The 21,309-nt window shown below is 42.8% G+C and overlaps 2 annotated features.

The window, feature by feature from the left end:
- Window positions 19,749–20,292: an enhancer, noted in NCBI's record as "NANOG-H3K27ac-H3K4me1 hESC enhancer chr5:67483027-67483570 (GRCh37/hg19 assembly coordinates)". NCBI's record gives its function as "activates a minimal SCP1, AML or CMV promoter by ChIP-STARR-seq in naive and primed H9 embryonic stem cells {active_cell/tissue: H9 hESC(naive and primed)}" and the evidence as "EXISTENCE:reporter gene assay evidence [ECO:0000049][PMID:30033119]".
- Window positions 20,293–20,836: an enhancer, noted in NCBI's record as "NANOG-H3K27ac-H3K4me1 hESC enhancer chr5:67483571-67484114 (GRCh37/hg19 assembly coordinates)". NCBI's record gives its function as "activates a minimal SCP1, AML or CMV promoter by ChIP-STARR-seq in naive H9 embryonic stem cells {active_cell/tissue: H9 hESC(naive)}" and the evidence as "EXISTENCE:reporter gene assay evidence [ECO:0000049][PMID:30033119]".

Here is a 21,309-nt window from a genome sequence, read left to right on the forward strand (position 1 = left end):
GATGAAGTTCCAAAATATGCTAAGTGAAAAACTGTAAATGCAAAACCTTTGTCTAGTGTGCTGCCTTCCATGTAAAAATAGGAGGAGCCTAGGCGTGGTGGCTCACGCCTGCAATCCCAGCAGTTTGGGAGGCCGAGGCAGGTGGATTGCTTGAGGTCAGCAGTTCAAGACCAGCCTGACCAACATGGTGAAACCCTGTCTCTACTAAAATTACAAAAATTAGCCAGGCATGGTGGCGAGTGCCAGTAATCCCAGCTACTAGTGAGGCTGAGGCAGGTGAATTGCTTGAACCTGGGAGGCAGAGGTTGCAGTGAGCTGAGACTGTGCCACTGCACTCCAGCCTGGGTAACAAAGCAAGATTCTGTTTCAAAAAAAAAAAAAAGGAGGAGAAGGATGTGAATTTACTTGTATGTGCATAAGATATCTACAAAAGGATACCCAGGAAACCAAAAATATTGATGCCTCTGGGGATAGAAACTGAATGGTTGGGACAGAGGTAACACAGATTTTTCCGTATGTACCATTTTGAACCTCTTGAGTTTTGAGCCATGAGAATATATTATCTATTCAAATAAGTAGACATGTAGATGCACAGATTCATAGCTATGAAGATATATAAGAAGAAAAGCCAATGAATGAATGAATAAGCAGGCGAGTGACTGAATGTGCCCCTGACTGGATGCACTGCTTGCTAGCTGTTGCCTAACTCCTGTGTTCCTTCATTTCCTCATCTGTAAAATGGGAATAATAGCACCTACCTCAAAGGGTTATTGTGAAAATCAAATGAGTTAAAACAAGGAATTAGAACAAAGTTTAGTCATCATAAGTACAAAAAAAGTTAGCTATCATTATTTTATTGCTGTTACCCTTGTGACTTTCGGAGCTTACTTACCCAACTAAACACAGGCTTTATACTCAGCTATATCCGGTTTTTTTTTTTAGACCAAGTCTTGCTCTGTAGCCCAGGCTGGAGTGCAGTGGTGCGATCTCGGCTGACTGCAATCTCCCCTCCTGGGTTCAAGTGATTATCCTGCCTCAGCCTCCCGAGTAGCTGGGACTACAGGCGCCTGCCACCACGCCCGGCTCGTTTTTGTATTTTTGGTACAGAAGGGGTGTCACCATACTGGCCAGGCTGGTCTTGAACTCCTGACCTTGTGATCCTCCCACCTTGGCCTCCCAAAGTGCTGGGATTATAGGTGTGAGCCACTGCGCCTGCCCTATATCTGGATTTTAACCCATGCTTGCCTCCATATCTTCTGTGAGATATTGTGCAGGATTTTAAACTTTTCTTTCCCTCAGTTTTGTATTTGTAAAATGTGAATAATAGTATAACAGCAACAATAATAATTAATTCAGAAAACAGACTTACTAACTTGATATTTGTTGATAGTAGGAAATTCTTGATATTTTAGGTGTGATAATCATACTGAGTTTATTTTTATTTTTTAGAGACAGAGTCTCGCTCTGTTGCCCAGGCTGGCGTGCAGTGGTGTAATCTCTACGCTCACTGCAACCTCTGCCTCCTGGGCTCAAGCAATTCTCCCACTTCAGCCTCCCAAATAACTGGGACTACAGGCATGTGCCACCACACCCTGGCTTTTTTTTTTCTTTTGGTAGAGATGCAGTTCTGCCACATTGCTCAGGCTGATCTCCAACTCCTGGACTCAAAGGATCTGCCTGCCTCGGCCTTCCAAAATGCTAACATTACAGGCTTGAGCCACTGTGCCCAGCCTATTGTGTTTAATTTTAATGAGTCCTGTGTTCTATAAATACAAACTAAAATATTCATGGATAAAAATATATAAGATTTGCTTCAAAATCGTAAATGGAAGAATGGGTGGGGGTATGAATAAAACAGAAGTGGTCATGTATCGATGATTGCCATGAGAGAGTGACGGGTACATGGGGCTCAACACTTGATTTTCTCTGCTTTTGTGTATATTTGAACTGTTCCCAGATAAAAAGAGTTTTTCTTAAGAGACTACAGTAAAGTGAGAAAACACATCATACAGTAGCAGGAATGCAGTAATAACTTTAAAAAAAATGGCTGCTGGTAGCCAGGTGTAGCAGTAGTTGTAGTATCGTGATAGTTTTTATTAGCTTCAGTTAAATGGTCAGGAAGAAAGGCTGATAGGCAAGGGAATGGATTAACGGATATGTGAGGAGAATCATCCCTTTTCAAGTTCTTCTAACAAAGATCTCACTTTTCTTATGTTTAAGGGAGCATCAACCCCCACAGGTACAGAGGTCTGCAGAACTCTAACATATAACATTCACAGAACTCGGCCACAAACCAGACCCCAAAACATGCTAGAATTCTCTCTCCATTGTTGAATGTTAGCAGCCATTTTGCTTTCATTTAGAGCTTCAATTAAACAGTATCAAATACGTCAGGTATTTTCTTTTATTTCTGCAAATGTATCTTTACAATCAAATGCCTCATTTTTAGCCATTCACCCTTGAAAAACTGAAAGTGATTTCAAATAGTGATGTGTGGCCAGCTTTAACTTGGACAGTCATTAGTGTTAGAGGAGTGGGGATTTGGAAATACTGCCTTAAGAAAAGTTTCCCCCTTAACTTATTTTTTACCCTTCCCACCTCTGTCTCCATGGAAATGAGGTCAGAGGCCACGGAGAGCTCCCAGGGAGCCAGCAGCTGGGAATGAGAATTCTCACTTAGAGATTTCAGCTGAAAGCTATAAACTCCTTTACAAAGACCAGCTGAGTCTTTTGGCCACCATAGTCTCCTTTTTACACTAATAAATAGGTGGCTTTTTTTTTCTTTTGTCTTTCTCTTTTGGCACATACATGGAGGAAGAAGAGGTGCCACTGAGTAATAACCATTTTTGCATTTATACTTGAACTTCTGTGCAATAAATCAAGATGGAGATATTCCTTAAGAATTTATTTTCAACTTAATATGTTTAAATGATAGTGTACATATGGAATTAAGCAATTATCACTTGCTTGATCTCTGTCCTTTCAAGTTTATGATAACACCAGATATTTGAAGACAAATATATGTGGTTATTCATTACATGCTATCAGTTATAAATGATTCTAATAGAATGTCACCATGACATAATTCAAAATCACTTAATTAAAAGAAAGAACCAATCTCAAGATATGAGCAGTTGGTGCCATTAAACAAAATGTTTTATGAATTAACGTATACTTTACTATTAGTACCTGTTTTTGTTGAACTGTTAACACAAGTCCATATTTTTTTGCACTTTATTCAGTTTATTTACTCATAAATCATTTGAAAATATCTGAGAAGGGTGACTACTCAAATATGCCAAACACTTTGTTATTTTTATAAGTTATATATTATTATTTAGTAGCCGAATATTTATTAAAACAATATGAAATGTAAATTTAGTTTAAAAAAAAAAAAAGCCCTAACAAGTTCTTTTTAAATTTGGAGCTATAGGAGTCTGTGTTTCAAACTTTTTTTTCCTTCATGCCACACTTTGTTTTATGGTTCAAGGTTTGTAGACTCAATAAGATTCAGCATTATTTCCAAGAACTTTTACGAAATTTCATCATTACTCTTACATAAAACACTGAGTTATTACTTTTAATCATCAATCACACAACTGCTCTGAATTTTCCAGAACTTAGCTTCAGCAAGCATCAGAACCACAGCACCTCTCTCAGACACTTTCACATTCTTTCTCTCTCTCTTTTTTCAGCGTTGTGGTCAGCAGTCTAATGATGCTGGGCTTTTATTCTTTACTGTTTCCTTTGTCTTTGGGCCCTTTCGCAGGTCGCTGCTGAGCTCTCTCTCTCTCTGTCCTGGGTTGAGCCCTTATTCCATTTTCCCCTGCTCTCAGAAGTGAAACAGAACATCGTGTTCCGAAGCTGCCCAGCACACATGCTTCACGATGCTGCCAAGTTTGCAGCTGACCAATTGGCCTACTTTAGAGGACTCGCATTTACAAAATTTACAAGTCTTTATTTCCACCAGCCCATCACCTCCTCCCCACCCCGCCGAAAAAGAGTATGTCAAACACACTGATAAATCAAGAGTTTTTTGGTGTTGCAACAAAATGGGCAGTCATTTCTTTGCCCTTTGCTGGCTCTCAGCCTTGCTCTTCCCTCCTGAATAGATGGAAAATATGGGTTGGTGTACGGTACAAAGACATTCAAAAGTGATTGCCTCTGTATTAATAACTAATTTCAAAAGAAACATACAAACGAAATGATATGCTCTTCTATTTTTTTCGGAGATCGGTATTTCTAAAGTAATTCCTTTCCAAAAACTGATCCAGGCAAACCTGTCTTCTTCCAAATTAGGAAGACAGAGTTAATGCTTTGCTTTTTCAATGAGATTGGGTCAGGCAAGTCATGGATTTAGATATTTTGAACACTCCTTATTGGCATTTGAATCTTCTAAGCTTCTATAATAGATTCAAGATCAAATAGGAGAGGGTAAGGATTTAATGGAGCAAAGAAAAGTTGTAGGAATTGGTTTCTTGTGATTTTAGTGATTCCTGCCCCACTCTTCAAGAAAAGGAACTCGGTCAAGGGTAGATCCAGGTTATTGCAAAGCTTATAAAATATGGAGCCCTCTTTATGAAAAAGAATATGAAATTAAGCCCAAGAGTAAATATCTACTTAGAATAAGAGAAGAAACCATAACAAATGACAAACTTTAAAAAGCATCCAGAAAAATAGCATCATTACCATTAGTATTAAGAATTATTGTTATTATCATAACTTCACTGTTTGATCCACCTATGTAACATTTCTTTTCCCTACTTTTTTTACTTTATCCTCTTTGATCGTTCCTCAAATAACCAAAACTTTATAATACTATTTTGTGTAAAGAGAATAGAAAGATAATTTTGTTTTTTTTTTTCTGGCATGGCAGATAGAAATATGTTTTTTGTTATTAATGGCTTAGAAAATAATCTTTCAGCTTGAGAATTATTGGTCATGCCACAGCTGAAACAATCTCTTGCTCCAGAGGTGCTTCGTGCTCTAAGAAAATTCCTCAGAGACTCCAGACCTTTGATCTTGCTGGGCAGGGCTCCAGCTGACCCTTTGGCCATTGTCTCAGCAACTGATCCAGCATCCCATTTGGTGTCCTGGGTGGAAAGGGCAGGGCTCGAGATGCTGGTGGTGGGGCCTTTGTCTGGAGAACCCTGAGCAGAGAGTGGTGGAGCATCTCATTCCAAACCTTCTCCTTGGTGCCAGAGTTGGATTTCAGATACCTGGGGAGGCTCCACATGTTGCAGGGCATCACTGGAGGTCAGCAAAAATTGAGAGTACGTTCAACCTACCAGCCTTCCACACAGACCGAGAATGTAGAGATTGACCCTCTGGCTGGCGTGGCTCTCCATGCATCCAGCTATACCTTAAATCCCTGCGAAGGACACACAGAACCTTGGAAGGGCCTGTGAAAGTAAGCGGCTGTGAAACTAAAAGCTCATTAACTTTATGATAATCCTCCCCTCTGTTCAGTGCTCATAATATAGTGGACATTCATGGAACTGAAAATAGAAATGAATTCTCTGGCCAAAGTGACCCCTATTTAGTATTCTCAAAATTTTAAGCTCCACAGGGCAAGGATTTTGTCTGCTTGGGTCACTGCTGTATCTTCATCTTCTTCTGAATATTGTTCCATTTGTTAAGGGGACCAAAATTTGTTAGCAATGCCTTTTATTTTCCTGGGTTAAAATAGGCTGGCCAACTGGAAGCTACTGGATATTGCTCACTATTAATTTCTTCACATACCCTTGAGATACTTGTTCTTACATCATCCGAGCTCCTCCACTCCCGCATTCATTTTGTTGTGGGGGGGTGGGTTTTGAAGCATAGTCTAAGCATCATGTCATCTTCTTTTCATTTTGAGTGCATGCTCTATCGCTGCCCAGATAGTCAAAAGTCAAGCCTTTTTGGCTGGGACTCTTCCAGTTGTATTACAGTGCTGGAACTTTTTTAAAGTAGAAAAGCCCTTTACCCTGTTTTTAAATACCAGTTTAAGATATTAGAAGAATATTTTTGAAAGTATGAACATATTTTGTTGTTTCTTGAGGATTCTGAGATGCTTCTTTTGGCCTATGGGGAGAAAATAATGCAGTCAACTTGGTCAGTGTGAGATTATATTGGGTCTCTTCATTTCTTAAGCTTGCAAGTCGCAATATGGCCATCTAAGCATTCAGACAGTGAGTCAGTAGGTTCTACTTCTCCTCACTATCTATATATTTAGATGGCCACATTGTGACTTACAGACTTAAGAAATGAAGAGACCCTGAGGCCAGGTGTGGTGGCTCGTGCCTCCACAGCACTTTGGGAGGCCAAGGTGGGTGGATCACTTGAGGTCAGCAGTTTGAGACTAGCCTGGCCAACATGGTGAAACCCTATCTCTACAAAAAAAAAAATACAAAATTAGCCAGGCATGGTGGCACACAATTGTAATCCCAGCTACCTGGGAGGCTGAGGCAGGAGTATCGTTTGAACCCGGGAGGCAGAGGTTGCAGTGAGCTGAGATTGCACCATTGCACTCTAGCCTGGGTGATAGAGCAAGACGCTGTCAAAAAAAAAAAAAAAAAAAAAAAAAAGAAGCAGCAGCTGAAAACATAGAAATGAAGAGACCCAAAATAATCCGCACATTGACCAAATCAACTGTATTATTTTCACCCATGGGCCAAAAAAACTCATAGATTACACAGAATATTAGGGATGGAATGACACAATGTCTTCTCCCCTTTACTAGTGAAGAAACTGACCCTCAAAGGGATAAAATTAATTGCTCAAAGTTGTAATCACGAGTAGCATCAATCAGAAGCTCTATTAAGGGAAGCATAATAAAGTTATTCTTCCAAATAAGTGTCTTGGTTCATTCAGGCTGCTATACCAAAATGCCATAGATACGGTGGCTTAAAAACAAGGAGAATTTATTTCTCAAAGTTCTGCAGACTGGGAAGTTCAAGATAAAGGCAGCAGATTTGGTGTCTGCTTAAGGCTGACGTTTCCTTGGTGCATAGAGGGTGCCTTCTCACCGTGTCCTCACATGGTGGAAGGGCAAGGGGTAACCTTTGGGACCCTTATTTATTTTTTTAAGAGGCAGGGTCTGACTCTGTCACCCAGACTGGAGTACAGTGGTGCAATCATAGCTCACTTGAACTCCTGGGCTCAAGTGATCCTCCTGCCTCAGCCTCCCAAGTAGCTGGGACTACAGCCTTGCACCACCACACGCAGCTAATTAAAAGAATATTTTTTGAGGCCGGGCGTGGTGGCTCATGCCTGTAATCCCAGCATTTTGGGAGGCCAAGGCAGGAGGATCACCTGAGGTCAGGAGTTCAAGACCAGCCTGACCAACATGGAGAAACCCTGTCTCTACTAAAAATACAAAATTAGCCGGGCATGGTGGCACATGCCTGCAATCCCAGCTACTCGGGAGGCTGAGGCAGGACAGTCACTTGAACCTGGGAGGCGGAGATTGTGGTGAGCCGAGATCACGCCATTGCACTCCAGCCTGGGCAACAAGAGCAAAACTTTGTCTCAACAATATATATATATATATTTTTGTACAGATGGGGTTGGAGGGTCTTGCTATGTTGCCCAGGCTGGTCTTGAACTCCTGGCCTTCAGTGATCCTCCCACCTCGGCTTCCCAAAGTGCTGGGATTACAGCTGTGAGCCACCACATCCGGTTAGGCCTCTTTTATAAGGGCACTAATCCTGTTCATTAGAGATCCAAGTTCATTACCTAATCACCTCCCAAAAGCTTCACCTTCTAATACCATCACCTTGGGGATAAAGACTTCAACATAAGAATTGAGGGGGGATAGCCAGGCACAGTGGCTCACGCCTGTAATCCCAGCACTTTGGGAGGCCGAGGCGGGTAGATCACCTGAGGTCAGGAGTTCGAGACTAGCCTGGCCAACATGGCAAAATCCCATCTCTACTAAAAATATAAAAATTAGCTGGGTGTGATGGTGCACACCTGTAATCCCAGCTACTTGGGAGGCTGAGGCAGGAGAATTGCTTGAACCCAGGAGGCAGAGGATGCAGTGAGTCGAGATCACGCCACTGTATTCCAGCCTGGGTGACAGAATGAGACTTCATCTCAAAAAAAAAAAAAAGAAAAAAAAAAAAGGAATTGGGAGGGATGGCAGGGGGGACTCACAAACATTCAGACCATAGCAGTAAGTTTTGAAACTTTCCTTATCTCTTATTTTCATTTTTCCATCAGCTCTTATCTCTAATACCATGATAACTGTGATTAACTATGTCTGAGTCAGTAACATTTGAAACCCCAATACCTATATGTTATGATAAGGAACACTGGGAGACCAAGAAAATCAGAGACATTATCTTGGAGGGACTCGACATTGGCATGGTGCTGGCCACTGGTAGAATACTTTCTGAAGTAAAATTGAGTACACTCGAACCTTGTCTCAGTTGCCTATACAGTACTGCAAATGCAGGACTTATTCATTTATTCAACAGACATTTATTAGAGCATTGCTCCAAGCCAGGCACTTTGCTCAGAGGAGCTTAAATAGATTAAAAAAAAAAAAGACATGGATTCTGTCTTCCAGATCATAATTGAGTGGAGAAGCAAATACATAATGTACAGTAATGCTCCGCATAATAACGCTTTGGTCAATGACAGACTGCATATAATAGGACAGTGGTCCCATAAGATTATAATGGAGCTGAAAAATTCCTATTGCCTAGCAATATCATACCCACTGTAACATTGCAGTACAATGCACTACATGACTCAAGTCAAAGTGTTAAAAAAAAATTTAAGTTCAGAAAATAAAAATGTTATAGTAAGTTAAAGTTAATTCATTTTTGAAGAAAAAAATTGTTATGAACTTAATGTAGTCTAGGTGTTTATAAAGTCTACAGTAGTTTACAGTAATGTCCTAGGCCTTCACATCCACTCACCACTCACCCACTGACTCACCGAGAGCACCTTCCAGTCCTGCAATCTCTATTCATGGTAAGTGTCCTATACACGGTGTACTTTTATTTATTTATTTATTTATTTATTTATTTATTTTTTATCTCTTTTTGAGACAGACTCTTGCTCTGTTGCCCAGGCTGGGAGTGCAGTGGCACGATCTTGGCTCACTGCAACTCCGCCTCCCAGGTTCAAGCGATTCTCCTACCTTGGCCTCCCTAGTAGCTGGGAATACAGGCATGTGCCACCACGCCTGGCTAAATTTTGCATTTTTAGTAGAGACAAGGTTTCATCATGTTGGCCAGGCTGGTCTTGAACTCCTGGCCTCAAGTGATCCACCCGTCTCAGCCTCCCAAAGTGCTGGGATTACAGGTGTGACCCACCATGCCTGGCCTATTTTTAAAGTCTTTTATGCCATATTTCTACTGTACCTTTTTAATGTTTCCATACACAAATACTGACCATTATGTTACAATTGCCTACAGTATTCAGTACAGTAACATGCTGTAGAGGTTTGTAGCCTAGGAGCAATGGGCTATACCATATAGCCCAGGTGTGTAGTACACTCTACTGTCTAGGTTTATGTTAGTACACTCTATGATGCCCACAGGACAAAATCACCTAATGATACATTTCTCAGAATGTATCCTCCTTAAGCAACACATGACTGTATTTGTTTCTCCTGCTGTGACTGCAAATTACCACAAATTTAGCAGCTTAAACCCACACTTGTTTTTAGCTCACAGTTCTGTGGATGAGAAAATCTGGGTACAACACAAATGGGCTCTCTGCTCAGGTTCTCACAGGACTAAAATCGAGGTGTCAGGCAGCCTGCATTCTCGTCTGGAGCTGGGATCCCATTCCAAGCTCATGTGCTTGTGAAAGAACTCAGTTCCCTGAGGCTGTAGAACTGAAGTTCCTTGCTGGCTGTCAGCCAGAGGTTGCTCTCAGATCCTAGATGCTGCCTGCATTCCTTGCCATGTGGCCCCCTCTGTCTCCACGTAAGCAATGGGTTATCGTTCTTGCATCAAACCCCTCTAATATTTCAAATCTCTTTTGAAGAGCCTCGTCTCTTTTAAAAGCTGACCCGATTAGGTCAGTCGCACCAAGGGTAATCTCACTATCTTAAGGTGAGATTTGGCATGTTAATTACATCTGCAAAATCCCTTTGTCATATAATAGAACATAATCATGGGAGCAATACCACATTGGCCTCGTTCACACTCATTGGGAGAGGATTTAGGGAATCATTGGAGGTCATTTTAGAATTCTGCCCACAGCCTACAGCAGGTAACAAAAAGTAATGATATAGTGAAGCGAGCTACGAAGAATGCAGCGAGCTGTGAGAATGCAGAGAAGGGTAAATTTAACTCTGCCTAGTGGCAGGATAGAGTTAGGCTAAGAGAAGAGGTAAATTTTGAGCTGATGGGGAAGAATGAGTAGGAGTAGAACAGGCAGGAAAAGGGCAGGCCCTTCTACTTTATTGCATGTGTCTGTTTTACCTCCGCCAGTACAGCTGACGTCCTTGGGTATGTGGAGCAGGCCACTTCTGGCGACTTCCTTCCCCAACTCCCAACATACCAACCACAGTCATGGACTCCTAGGTAGTGTTCAAGAAATATTTTGCAGGCAGGGCGCGGTGGCTCACGCCTGTAATCCCTCCACTTTGGGAGGCCAAGGCGGGTGGGTCACGAGGTCAGGAGATCAAGACCATCCTGGCTAACACGGTGAAACCCCATCTCTACTAAAAATACAAAAAATTAGCTGGGCGTGGTGGTGGGCGCCTGTAGTCCCAGCTACTCAGGAGGCTGAGGCAGGAGAGTGGCGTGAATCCAGGAGGTGGAGCTTGCAGTGAGCCGAGATAGCGCCACTGCAGTCCGGCCTGGGCGAAAGAGCGAGACTCCGTCTCAAAAAAAAAAAAGAAAAAAGAAATATTTTGTATAGATTCAGTATCTAATTAATTTTGTTTTTTTAAAAAATATTTATTTATTTAGAGACAGGGTTTTGCCATATTGGCCATGCTTGTCTTGAACTCCTAGGCTCAAGCAATCCACCCCCCCTCAGCCTCCCAAAGTGTTAGGATTACAGGCGTCAGCCACCATGCCCAGCCAATATCTAATTTGTGATAGCCATGTAATCATGAACCTCTCACCTACCTTATTCTTACTCTCTCTGCATCAGAGGTTTTAAAACAATAAAATTTGAATTTTATAAAACATTTTCACACACACACACAGAGGAAATATCTAGTTGATTTTTGGTGACTGACTTCTATTAATCTCTTCTGTCGTTTTCTTTTGCTCCTCCTACCCACTTTGCTCACCTTGCCCCAGCTGAGTCATCCCTGGTCAGATGTTGTCTCAATCAGGATTCTTCAGAGAAATAGAACCAATAGGAGACAGACAGATGGATAGATAGACATAATTTTAAGAAACTGACTCATGCAATTGTGGAGACCAGCAAATCTGAAGTCTGAAAGTGTGGAGCCCACAGGCAGCCTGGAAATTCAGATAGGAGTTAACACTGCAGCCTTGAGGCAGATTTCATCTCCAGAAAAATCTTGACTTTTGCCCTTAAGAATTTTCAACGATTTGTATAAAGCTTATTCCCATTATCAAAAGTAACCCCCTTTACATAAAATCAACTGACAACAGATGTTAACCACATCTACAAAATATCCTCACAGCAACATCCTGATGTTGTTTGACTAAATAACTGGGTAATACAGCCTAGCCAGGTTGACATATAGAACTAGCCATAACATATTTTTTCATCCAGGCTTGGACGTTTTAGACCAGTCAAGCCCCCCAGTGACTGAACCCTCAGCCAAAAGGTGGAGTAGCAGTGATAGCAGTGATCAGCTGCACCCAGTCAACTTTGAATTTTGTGAAATAGCTGGGCGCGGTGGCTCACGCCTGTAATCCCAGCACTTTGGGAGGCCGAGGCGGGCAGATCACAAGGTCAGGAGATCGAGACCATCCTGGCTAACACGGTGAAACCCCGTCTCTACTAAAAATACAAAAAAAATTAGCCGGGCCTGGTGGCGGGCGCCTGTAGTCGCAGCTTCTCGGGAGGCTGAGGCAGGAGAATGGGGTGAACCTGGGAGGCGGAGCTTGCAGTGAGCCGAGATAGTGCCACTGTACTCCAGCCTGGGCAACAGAGCAAGACTCCATCTCAAAAAAAAAAAAATATATAGAATTTTGTGAAATAATAAAATGGTGGCTGTTTTGAGACAGAGGTTTTTTGTTGTTGTTGTTGTTTTTCTCTTATTGCCCAGGCTGGAGTGCAGTGGCACCATCTCGGCTCACTGCACCTCCTGGGTTCAAGCAATTCTCCTGCCTCAGCCTCCTGAATAGCTGGGACTACAGGTGTCTGCCACCATGCCCAGCTAATTTTTTTAAATATTTTTAGTGGTGATGGGGTTTCACCATGTTGGCCAGGCTGGTCTCGAACTCCTGACCTCAGGTGATCTGCCCACCTCGGCCCCCCAAAGTGCTGGGATTACAGGCATGAGCCACCACATCAGGTCAAAATGGTGGTTCTTTTAAGCCAGTAAGATTGAGGTGGTTTGTTAGGGAGTAATAGAAAGCCAAAACACCTACCGATTAAAAGAAGGCCTTGAACCACACATCCTTGGGTACAGATAAAAGGTGGAACAGCTCTGGGAACAGAAGCAAGATTTTCAGTCCCAGTCTTTGGAGCAAGACCATTAATGTGACTGTGCTCCAGTGAGCTCAGAACCATGTTCAAAGTTCTTCAGGTATCCATCAGACATGTGTTTTATTACCTTCCCCTTTCTCAAGAACACCTGGTTTCTGTTTGGGAATCCAAGAAATATACTGTCTCTTTCCCCTCAAAGATGAAGCATATGACCTTGGCTAAGCCAATTAGCATCTCCTTGGATGTAGTGATTGATTCAAAGAAGGACCTATGACCTAAACCTGTTCAATCAGAGTGACTTTCTGAGCTTTTGCTGAAAACAGTGGCAATGATACTCTTTCTGCCTTGCTGGATGTCAGTTTTAAAGCACACAGTTCCTTCCAGGAAATGCTGGTAGCCAGCTGGTGACCTTGAGGGGAGTTAAGTATTAATCCAGCAGCCTGGAAGGAAGAACAGAGAGAGAGAAAGATAAGCCACATCTTTAGTCCTTCCACTTAGCTGCTGGAGTAAGCCTCACCTGAAGCTTATTTTCTGCTGGCTTTTCAGCAAATTTCCTCTATTACTTAATCTTACTTAAGGTGTATGTTTTGTAATTTGCATCTGAAAGCCTGTATGTATCAGGGCCATTCTTAAAGAAGAGAGAATTGTTATGAGTTCTGCAAATACCTCAAGAGGGGTCTACAAAAAGGCTGTAACTCCTTTTCACCTACATCAAGAGATGTCTTGAAAGCAGGGACATGGAAAGAGATCCCATGACATCCCTACTGACACAAGGACTCTGGACTCTGCTTGTCACCTGTTAGGAAGGGAGAATGATGAATGATGAAACTGGAACTAAAACTTACTGAGCACCTACTGTGTGCCAGGCACTGGCCTGGATCCTTCACATACATTATCTTACCAAATATCTACAAAATCCCTTTGAGTGGTTATTCTAATTCCTGCAGATGTGAAAGCTGAAGCTAGGAGAAGATAATTAACTTGGCCAAGGTCATGCTGCTATTTAGTTTCAGGCAAGTTTCAAACTCTTGTTTGAAGAGTTCTTTCTGACTCCAGTGCTCCTTCCCTCCCCCTAGGAGTCTTTAGACTCCTACCAGAAACACCCTCTCCTATCAGTTCTGTTATGATCACATCCACAGTAACTAACAGTGAGGATAAGGAAAGGAAGGCATAAAACCTTGGAGGCGGAGGTGTGGGTGTGGGGAGGAACGAGCTCTACCCTCAGCCTAACTGTAATAGTTGCACAGGCTGTCAAGTCTCATAGCCAGATGTGTTCCATATAGATTCTTCAAATGTCAGAGCAGAGTCATCTACTCTGACTTTCTCCTTTTATAGTTGAAGAACTGAGTGAGGCCAGAGAGGTCAACTGACCTGCCCTAAAGCCACACAGCTAAAGGCTGAACTAAAACCAGGCTGTGCTTTGGCTCCACCTCTGGTTCATAGTATAGACCTGGTTTCATTGCTTGGCCTTGCCACTTACTGAATGGTTTGGGCAAGTTATCTAATCATTCTGGGCCTTGATTTGCTCACCCGTAAAGTGTGGAATTTTAGCAGCACTTATCTCTTGGATATAAATTACATAAAACACCATCAGGGAACCTAGTGAGTGCTAAGTGTTAACTTCCACTGATGGGCTCACAGCTCACTGTCTCAATGGCACTGATTCTCTTCCCATCCAACCCCAACTTCAGCATCTCTCAGGTGTCTTTTTACACTCTGGTTACCTCCAGTGTGATCTAAATTACAGTCTGTCACGAATCTGCGTGTATCTGCTCTAGAAAAGAACTTACAATGACTATACCATGAAATCAGGGAGGCAATAGGGCAAGAGCCCTAATTTTAATCTTAATTTGTCTAACCTTTAGTTTTCCCTTTTTCCTTTTTCTGACTGTTGATGGAAGTAGGAAGAGGAAGGTTTTCCTGTTTCTCTTTCCATCCTTTCATTATTGAAATCTGCCACCAGGAAAGGATCTGATAAATTCATTCTGTGGTAACTTACTGATAAGGCTTAACTAGTGACTTTTGTTTTTAAGGGTATTTGCAAGCTTCATCAAAGGTCAAAGCCTAAACCAAGGATCTCCAATGTTAGAGTTTTAGTATCAATCAAGAGTGGGACAGGTTTGCATTTTGGTTTGTTTTTGCTGGTGTTGGATCAGGGAGAATGAAAGGAAGGAAACCCAGAAGATTTTTTATAAATCCAGGTTCCACCCTCCAGGCTGAGAGTGAGCTAACCATGTGGGCAAGTGGGAAGGGGGAAGTGTTGAATATTCCCCAGGACTTCCTGGTAGACAATCAGAATTGCCTTTGAGGGAACCTAGGGGTGGGAGTGGAGGACAGATCCACCAAGAACCAAGGCCTTTACTGAGGACCAAAAAGCCATGCGTCATATCCAAGGAACCAGAAGGGGACAATGTAACCCGTGAACAACCTCTGGAGTAAGTCTGAACCCAGAGCTCACACCCTTCTTTCCCTTGAGCAGGCTCTGTGCTGTGGGGTGGGACAGATTCAAGGCTCTGAGATGGATGACACTCCCTACTGTTGCTGCCCCTCTTGCCACCCTCTACTCTCAGGGTTGTCACACTTTCCAAAGAGTTGAGGGGGCGGGGTGGCGGGGCAGAGGAGGCAATAACCAATGTTACCAAGAGTCTCTTGGACTTTGGAAGGGCACCAGAGCTCCAGCCAGGTCAAAACCATCAGCCCACGTGGTGCTCTATCAGCACTTCCTTCTCACATTCTCTGAAGACACAAGGAGGAAGTGGGAGTCCAGGTAGAACAGCTCCCCTACTAGAAGAGAAGACCTAGGTCAGGAACACAGGGCTGGGCATGGGAGCAGGAGAGACAGAAGTAGCAGCATATGCCTTCCTGGTGAGGGGCCCCTGTGGTCCCAGGGCTTTCTGCAAGGATCTATGCAGCAAACACTCTATACAGACTTACCAGATGCATGTCTTCACACATATATGCCACTGGCTTTTCAAATGTATACAGAAGGCTATAGTGTGATAATGTGATAATATCATCCCTAATTTATAATTTATAATTCTTATTTAGTCAATAACTGGACAGTATAAGACAACTGCTCTTGTATTTTTAGTAGAGATGGAGTTTCACCATGTTGGCCAGGCTGGAACTGCTGACCTCAGGTGATCCACCCACCTTGGCCTCCCGAAGTGCTGGAATTACAGGCATGAGCCACCATGCCTGGCCCAATTTTGGCTTTCAAAGGGGATTCTCACTCTTGAAAAGATTAGACACATTAGGCTACATCATTGCCTTTTCCTTTCCTCTCCTTACCACTGCCACGTGTGCCAATTATAGCTTTATGAATGTGAGTCCTTTGCCCATCCCCTTCACCAGCAGAAAACAGCTATTTGTTGTCCTCTGCTGCACACTGGATAAAACTAATCAAATAAATATATCTGTTTAAAACTTCCTTTAAAAATGCCTCAGTGTATTTTCCATTGAGGAATATCTTTTATGTTCTTCCCTGGGGGGAATTTAGCCTAATCCATCCTGCCTACCAGCTCCTTTACAATATGTTGATTTGGGGGCAGATTCTTTTGAAAAAAAAAAAAAAAAAAAAAAAAAACTGAACTCCGCTTTCTGAATTTTCCCACTCACAAAAAAATTTAGCTAGATATGATCTACAGGCAAGATATACCTAAGTTGTCTGGGACTGGCACTCAGATTGTTAGTTAAGTATCAATTCAAGGTCAAAGGCACACTGCTAACTTTGTTCAGTTTTCTTTCCACTAAAATAAATTGACCATCAGACAATTTTTGGTTATATTTCTAACATAGTTTTTAATTAAGTGACAAAATGTTTAAATTTACAAAAATATACTTTAAAACATTTAAGCAAAATAGAAGTGTACAAAGAAAAATGCCCTCATTAGCCCATAGGCAGAAGTGATTATAATTTGAAATGTTTAGGAAGATAACAGTTGTACTTACATCTAAGAGGTTATTTTATGTTTATTTTTTCTTTTCTCCTATAAATACCGTAGAAATCCAAACAAATGCGTTTGTATAAAACACTGAAGAAATGGTACTACCTCCTTCTCAAACTTCTACCCCTACTCATCATTTTTGTCTTCCGCCTCATCATCACCAAAGAATCAGCTACCTTCTGTGTTTTGTAGGGAAATCTGTGCCTGTTCCTCTTCGAAGCAAGTGGACTTTGTTTCCTTGGAATAAAACTCTGTGGCTTGGGACAACTCACTTTCCCTCTCCAATTTCTTTGCAAAATATGAGGGGTCCTTAGGACTTTGATACTAAAACAACTATGCCCATCTTTTTGTTTTTGTTTTGAGATGGAGTCTCGCTCTGTCCCCCAGGCTGGAGTGCAGTGGCGCAATCTCGGCTCACTGCAAGCTCTGCCTCCCGGGTTCAAGCAATTCTCCTGCCTCAGCCTCCTGAGTAGCTGGGATTACAGCTGCGTGCCACCACAACTGGCTAATTTTTTGTATTTTTAGTAGAAACGGGGTTTCACCATGTTGGCCAGGATGTTCTCGAACTCCTGACCTCGTGATCCACCCACCTCAGCCTCCCAAAGTGTTGGGATTACAGGTGTGAGCCACCGTGTCTGGCCGCCCACCTTTTATATAATTCAAAATAAAAACAAAACTGGGTCCTAAAATAAATGTCAGGATACCCAACAATTTGATTCGCCCCATGATGACTGTTTCCTTGCTTTGGGGAAATATAGAAAATTCTTCCAATACATGTATTTCTGTTTCTTCTGGCTTTGGCAATCAAGCCCCAAAAGAACAAGGAGCAATACATTGTCTCTGAGCTCTGAAAGTCTATAATTTGTCAGTTATAATTTGGAGAATAGAAGTAGAGGTGATGAGATTGAAAAACATAAATAATATCAAATAAAGCTAAATAAGAATAGATCATTTTGAGAGATTGGGAGAAATGAACAAGACTCTTGCTAATGAGAGCCCTACTTCATAGTGAATTCCAAAGAATACAATATGTAAAGGGGCAAAAAAAAAAAAAGTAACTTTACAGTGGAGAAACCTGACAAACGCTACTCGGTCAGGTGATCAAGGTCAACAGCAACAGTCATAAATCATGTAGATAGTATAAACCCTTGATTTGATGTGACAAAGTGGTATCTTACCTCTGTGGTCTTCTAGAATCCATTACCCCTAGTCTAATCATAAGAAAAACAACAGACGAATCTCAATACAGGGGGGGTACCCTCTTACCTCTTTCAAAATTAATAATCAGTAGTCCTCAAAACTATCAAATAATCAAGACTAACAAAAGTCTGAAAAACTCTCACAGCCAAGTGGAGCCTAGGGTGACAGGACAACTAAATATAATGTGGTACCCTGGATGGGATCCTGGAGTGGAAAAAGGAATTAGGTAAGAACTAAGAAAATCTGAATAATCATGATCTTTAGGTAATAATAGCATGTCAATATTGCTTCAATAATTATAAAAAATTTCATTATAAACGTAAGATGTCAATAATACGCGAAACTGGCTGGAGGGTTGATGGGAACCCTATAGTATCCTCAATTGTTCTTTAGATCTCAAACTGTTCTGTTTCACTTTTTTGCCCAGGCTGGAGTGAAGTGGCAGTGATCTCGGCTCACCGCAACCTCCGCCGCGCCACTCCATCCCACCAGGGTTCAAGCGATTCTCCTGCCTCAGCCTCCCAAGTAGCTGCAATTACAGGCACCCGCCACCACGCCTGGCTAATTTCTGTATGTTTAATAGAGATGGGTTTTCGCCATGTTGGCCAGTCTACTTTTGAACTCTGATCTCGGGTGATCCACCCGCCTTGGCCTCGTAAAGTGCTGGGATTACAGGCGTGAGCCACCGTGCCTGGCCTAAAACAATTTTTTTAATGAATAAGTAGTTATTTAAAATAAGAATGACAATGGCCTGATGGCATTACACATTTTTGCATAGGCTCACGAAGCCCAGGCTATAGTGTTTTTTCTTATTCTTTACATGTTGGGAAGGGAGGCTTTTTCAACTCTGCCTAATGATTTTACCTTAACTGAATTTTTCCTGAAATTATCTGCAGTGAAAAGCTCCTGTGTGTGTGGGTGGGGTCCGGTTGGCCGCGCCCCGCCCCCACCGCCGTGCGCTCGCTCCCTCCCTCCCTCCCACGCTCCCTGCCGCCAGCCCCACCGCCCCTCGCGTCCGGGACGCCGGTCCCATCCTCGCGAAGCCCCGGCCTCGGGGAATCTCCACGCTCTGGCCGGGCGCGGTGGTTCACGCCTGTAATCCCAGCACTTTGGGAGGCCGAGGCGGGCAGATCACGAGATCAGAGGATCGAGACCATCCTGGCTAACACAGTGAAACCCCGTCTCTACTAAAAATACAAAAAAGTAGCCGAGCGTGGTGGCGGGCGCCTGTAGTCCCACCTACTCGGGAGGCTGAGGGCAGGAGAACGGCGTGAAACCGGGAGGCGGAGTTTGCAGTGAGCCGAGATCGCCCCACTGCACTCCAGCCTGGGCGACACAGCGAGACTCCGTCTCAAAAAAAAAAAAACAAACAAACAACAAAAAAAAAAACTCAGAGCAGATATTATAGCGTATGTGAATTATTAATTTACTTTGTTTTCCCATGGCCAACTCACCTGTTCTAAGCCACAGCCACCTGGCACCTTCAATTTGAAATGTATAAGGCATAAGCTATACGTTCCTCATGGAAAGAGTAAAAGTTATTTTATAGCCATACCAAGATTGGATTTCGGGTGTACTATTTATAAGCTGTGTAATAACGTTGGACAAATTACTTAACCTCTGTGAAACTCAGTTTTCTCTTTTATTTTATTTTACTTTATTTTATTTTTTTTAGACGAGTCTCGCTCTGTCACCCAGGCTGGAGTGCAGTGGCGTGATCTCGGCTCACTGCAACCTCTGCCTCCCGGGTTCAAGCAATTCTCTGCCTCAGCCTCCCGAGTGGCTGGGATTACAGGCGCCCGCCACCACGCCCAGCTATTTTTTTTGTATTTTTAGTAGAGACGGGGTTTCAGCATCTTGGCCAGGCTGGTCTTGAACTCTTGACCTGGTGATCCACCCGCCTCAGCCTCCCAAAGTGCTGGGATTACAGGCGTGAGTCACCGCGCCCGGCCGAGTTTTCTCTTTTATTAAAAAAAGAAAATCAACAACAAAGTTTTGCAGGATTGTAGTGAGTGAATATAAAGTATGTGATTCGGTATCCGGAACATAAAAGTTCTCAGGAAATCACGATTAATAATAAACAGTAACAAATAATGATCCGTCCAAACCAAGAGAAGATAATCTCCTTTGGCTGTAAGAAAATATGACTTAAACAGCTCTTTCCTTCAAGTCCTCCTTCCCACTTTAACAGGCCACACTGTACTGAGCATCTAGAAGGCTCTCTGCCAACAGCAGCGCCGGTTTGTTATCTAAGTGAGTCTTGGTCATTAAGCAAAGTCAGGGTCTTTGTTATTGGTTTCATCCCCACTGGCCTTGCAGAGAAAGCCCAAGCCACAGGGTACATCTCTGCCTGCCAATGCCCTGTATTCCTGAAACAAAAAGGCAATAAAAAACACGACAGTTAGTGTCAGACACGGAGCCCGGGCTTGGGAGCGGGCGGGGAGGGCTCCCTTTTCTCCTTGTTCCGCAGCACCTGTCACGGAGACGGGAGATGGGGGCCTGGCCCGGGATGGGCAGCCCTGCTTCCTCCTGCCCCCGCCGCGCTCCCTCCCGAGCTGCTCCGGCCCCGGCTCCCAGCAACGCGGCGGCGGCCCGCTCTGCGACTAGAAAGCGCCCATTGAGGGCTTGCAGCTGCCAGTGCCGCTTGCCCAAATCCGACATAAAGCCTCGACTTCAGCTCCAGTGAAGAAGACACTACTGTGTTCTTCCTGAGCCCCAGTCATGGCTATAAAACATTAAAAGCAAACTGGCGATTGTTAAACACTGCATTTGTTTACACCCCGAATCTTGAATCACAATGGGGCAGCTTGGGCTGCCCAGGCCCGGCGAGGCCGGGCTTTCTCCTAGACACTGAAGTCTGTTCTCCGACCCAAGGGACACAAGAAAAGTTGAGTAAATACCATATCGCTTTTCTGTTGATAGATGTTTGTTCACGGAGACTTCAACAGGATATTTGCTTGGGGTTGGGTGGGGGTGGGGGGCGTTGGGTTGAAGGACACGTCCTTGCAGAACCAAGATGCTGTCTCACGTTAGCTTTGAGGCTCTCTAAAGTATCCTGAAAGAAAACAAACAAACAAAAAAAGCCGAGTTACATAAAATATATCCGACCGAATTAAGGCATAACTGGCATCCTTAAAAACAAACAAACAAAAAAACCCAAAACTGCTTGGAAGGAAAAATGGGGAGGGGGAAATAAACGAAACGATGATGGCAGTGTGGTTAATTGGTTAAGCCAATGGAAGCTCAATACACTATTCTACTCTTGCAAATTTCAAAACAATGTTTCATTTTAAAAATTACACTTAAAAAAGTCCCTTTGCTCTCCCTTTTTCCCAGGCTACAATACATAAAACAGATTTCCTTTTAAATGTCGCACTCTATTTCATTTTTGAATTTTTCAGGGGTTTTGTGTGTGTGTGTGTTTTTCTGTTTTAAAAAGTACATCATAATTTGGTAAATTGAGAAGATGCAGAAAAGAAGTATAATGAAGAAAGTAATTATAAGTCCCATGATTTCAATTAGCACTTGCTTATATTCTTATGTATTACCTTTCAATCTTTACATACACACGTGCACAC

Source organism: Homo sapiens, chromosome 5 (genome assembly GCF_000001405.40).
Source record: "Homo sapiens chromosome 5, GRCh38.p14 Primary Assembly".
NCBI lineage: Eukaryota > Metazoa > Chordata > Mammalia > Primates > Hominidae > Homo > Homo sapiens.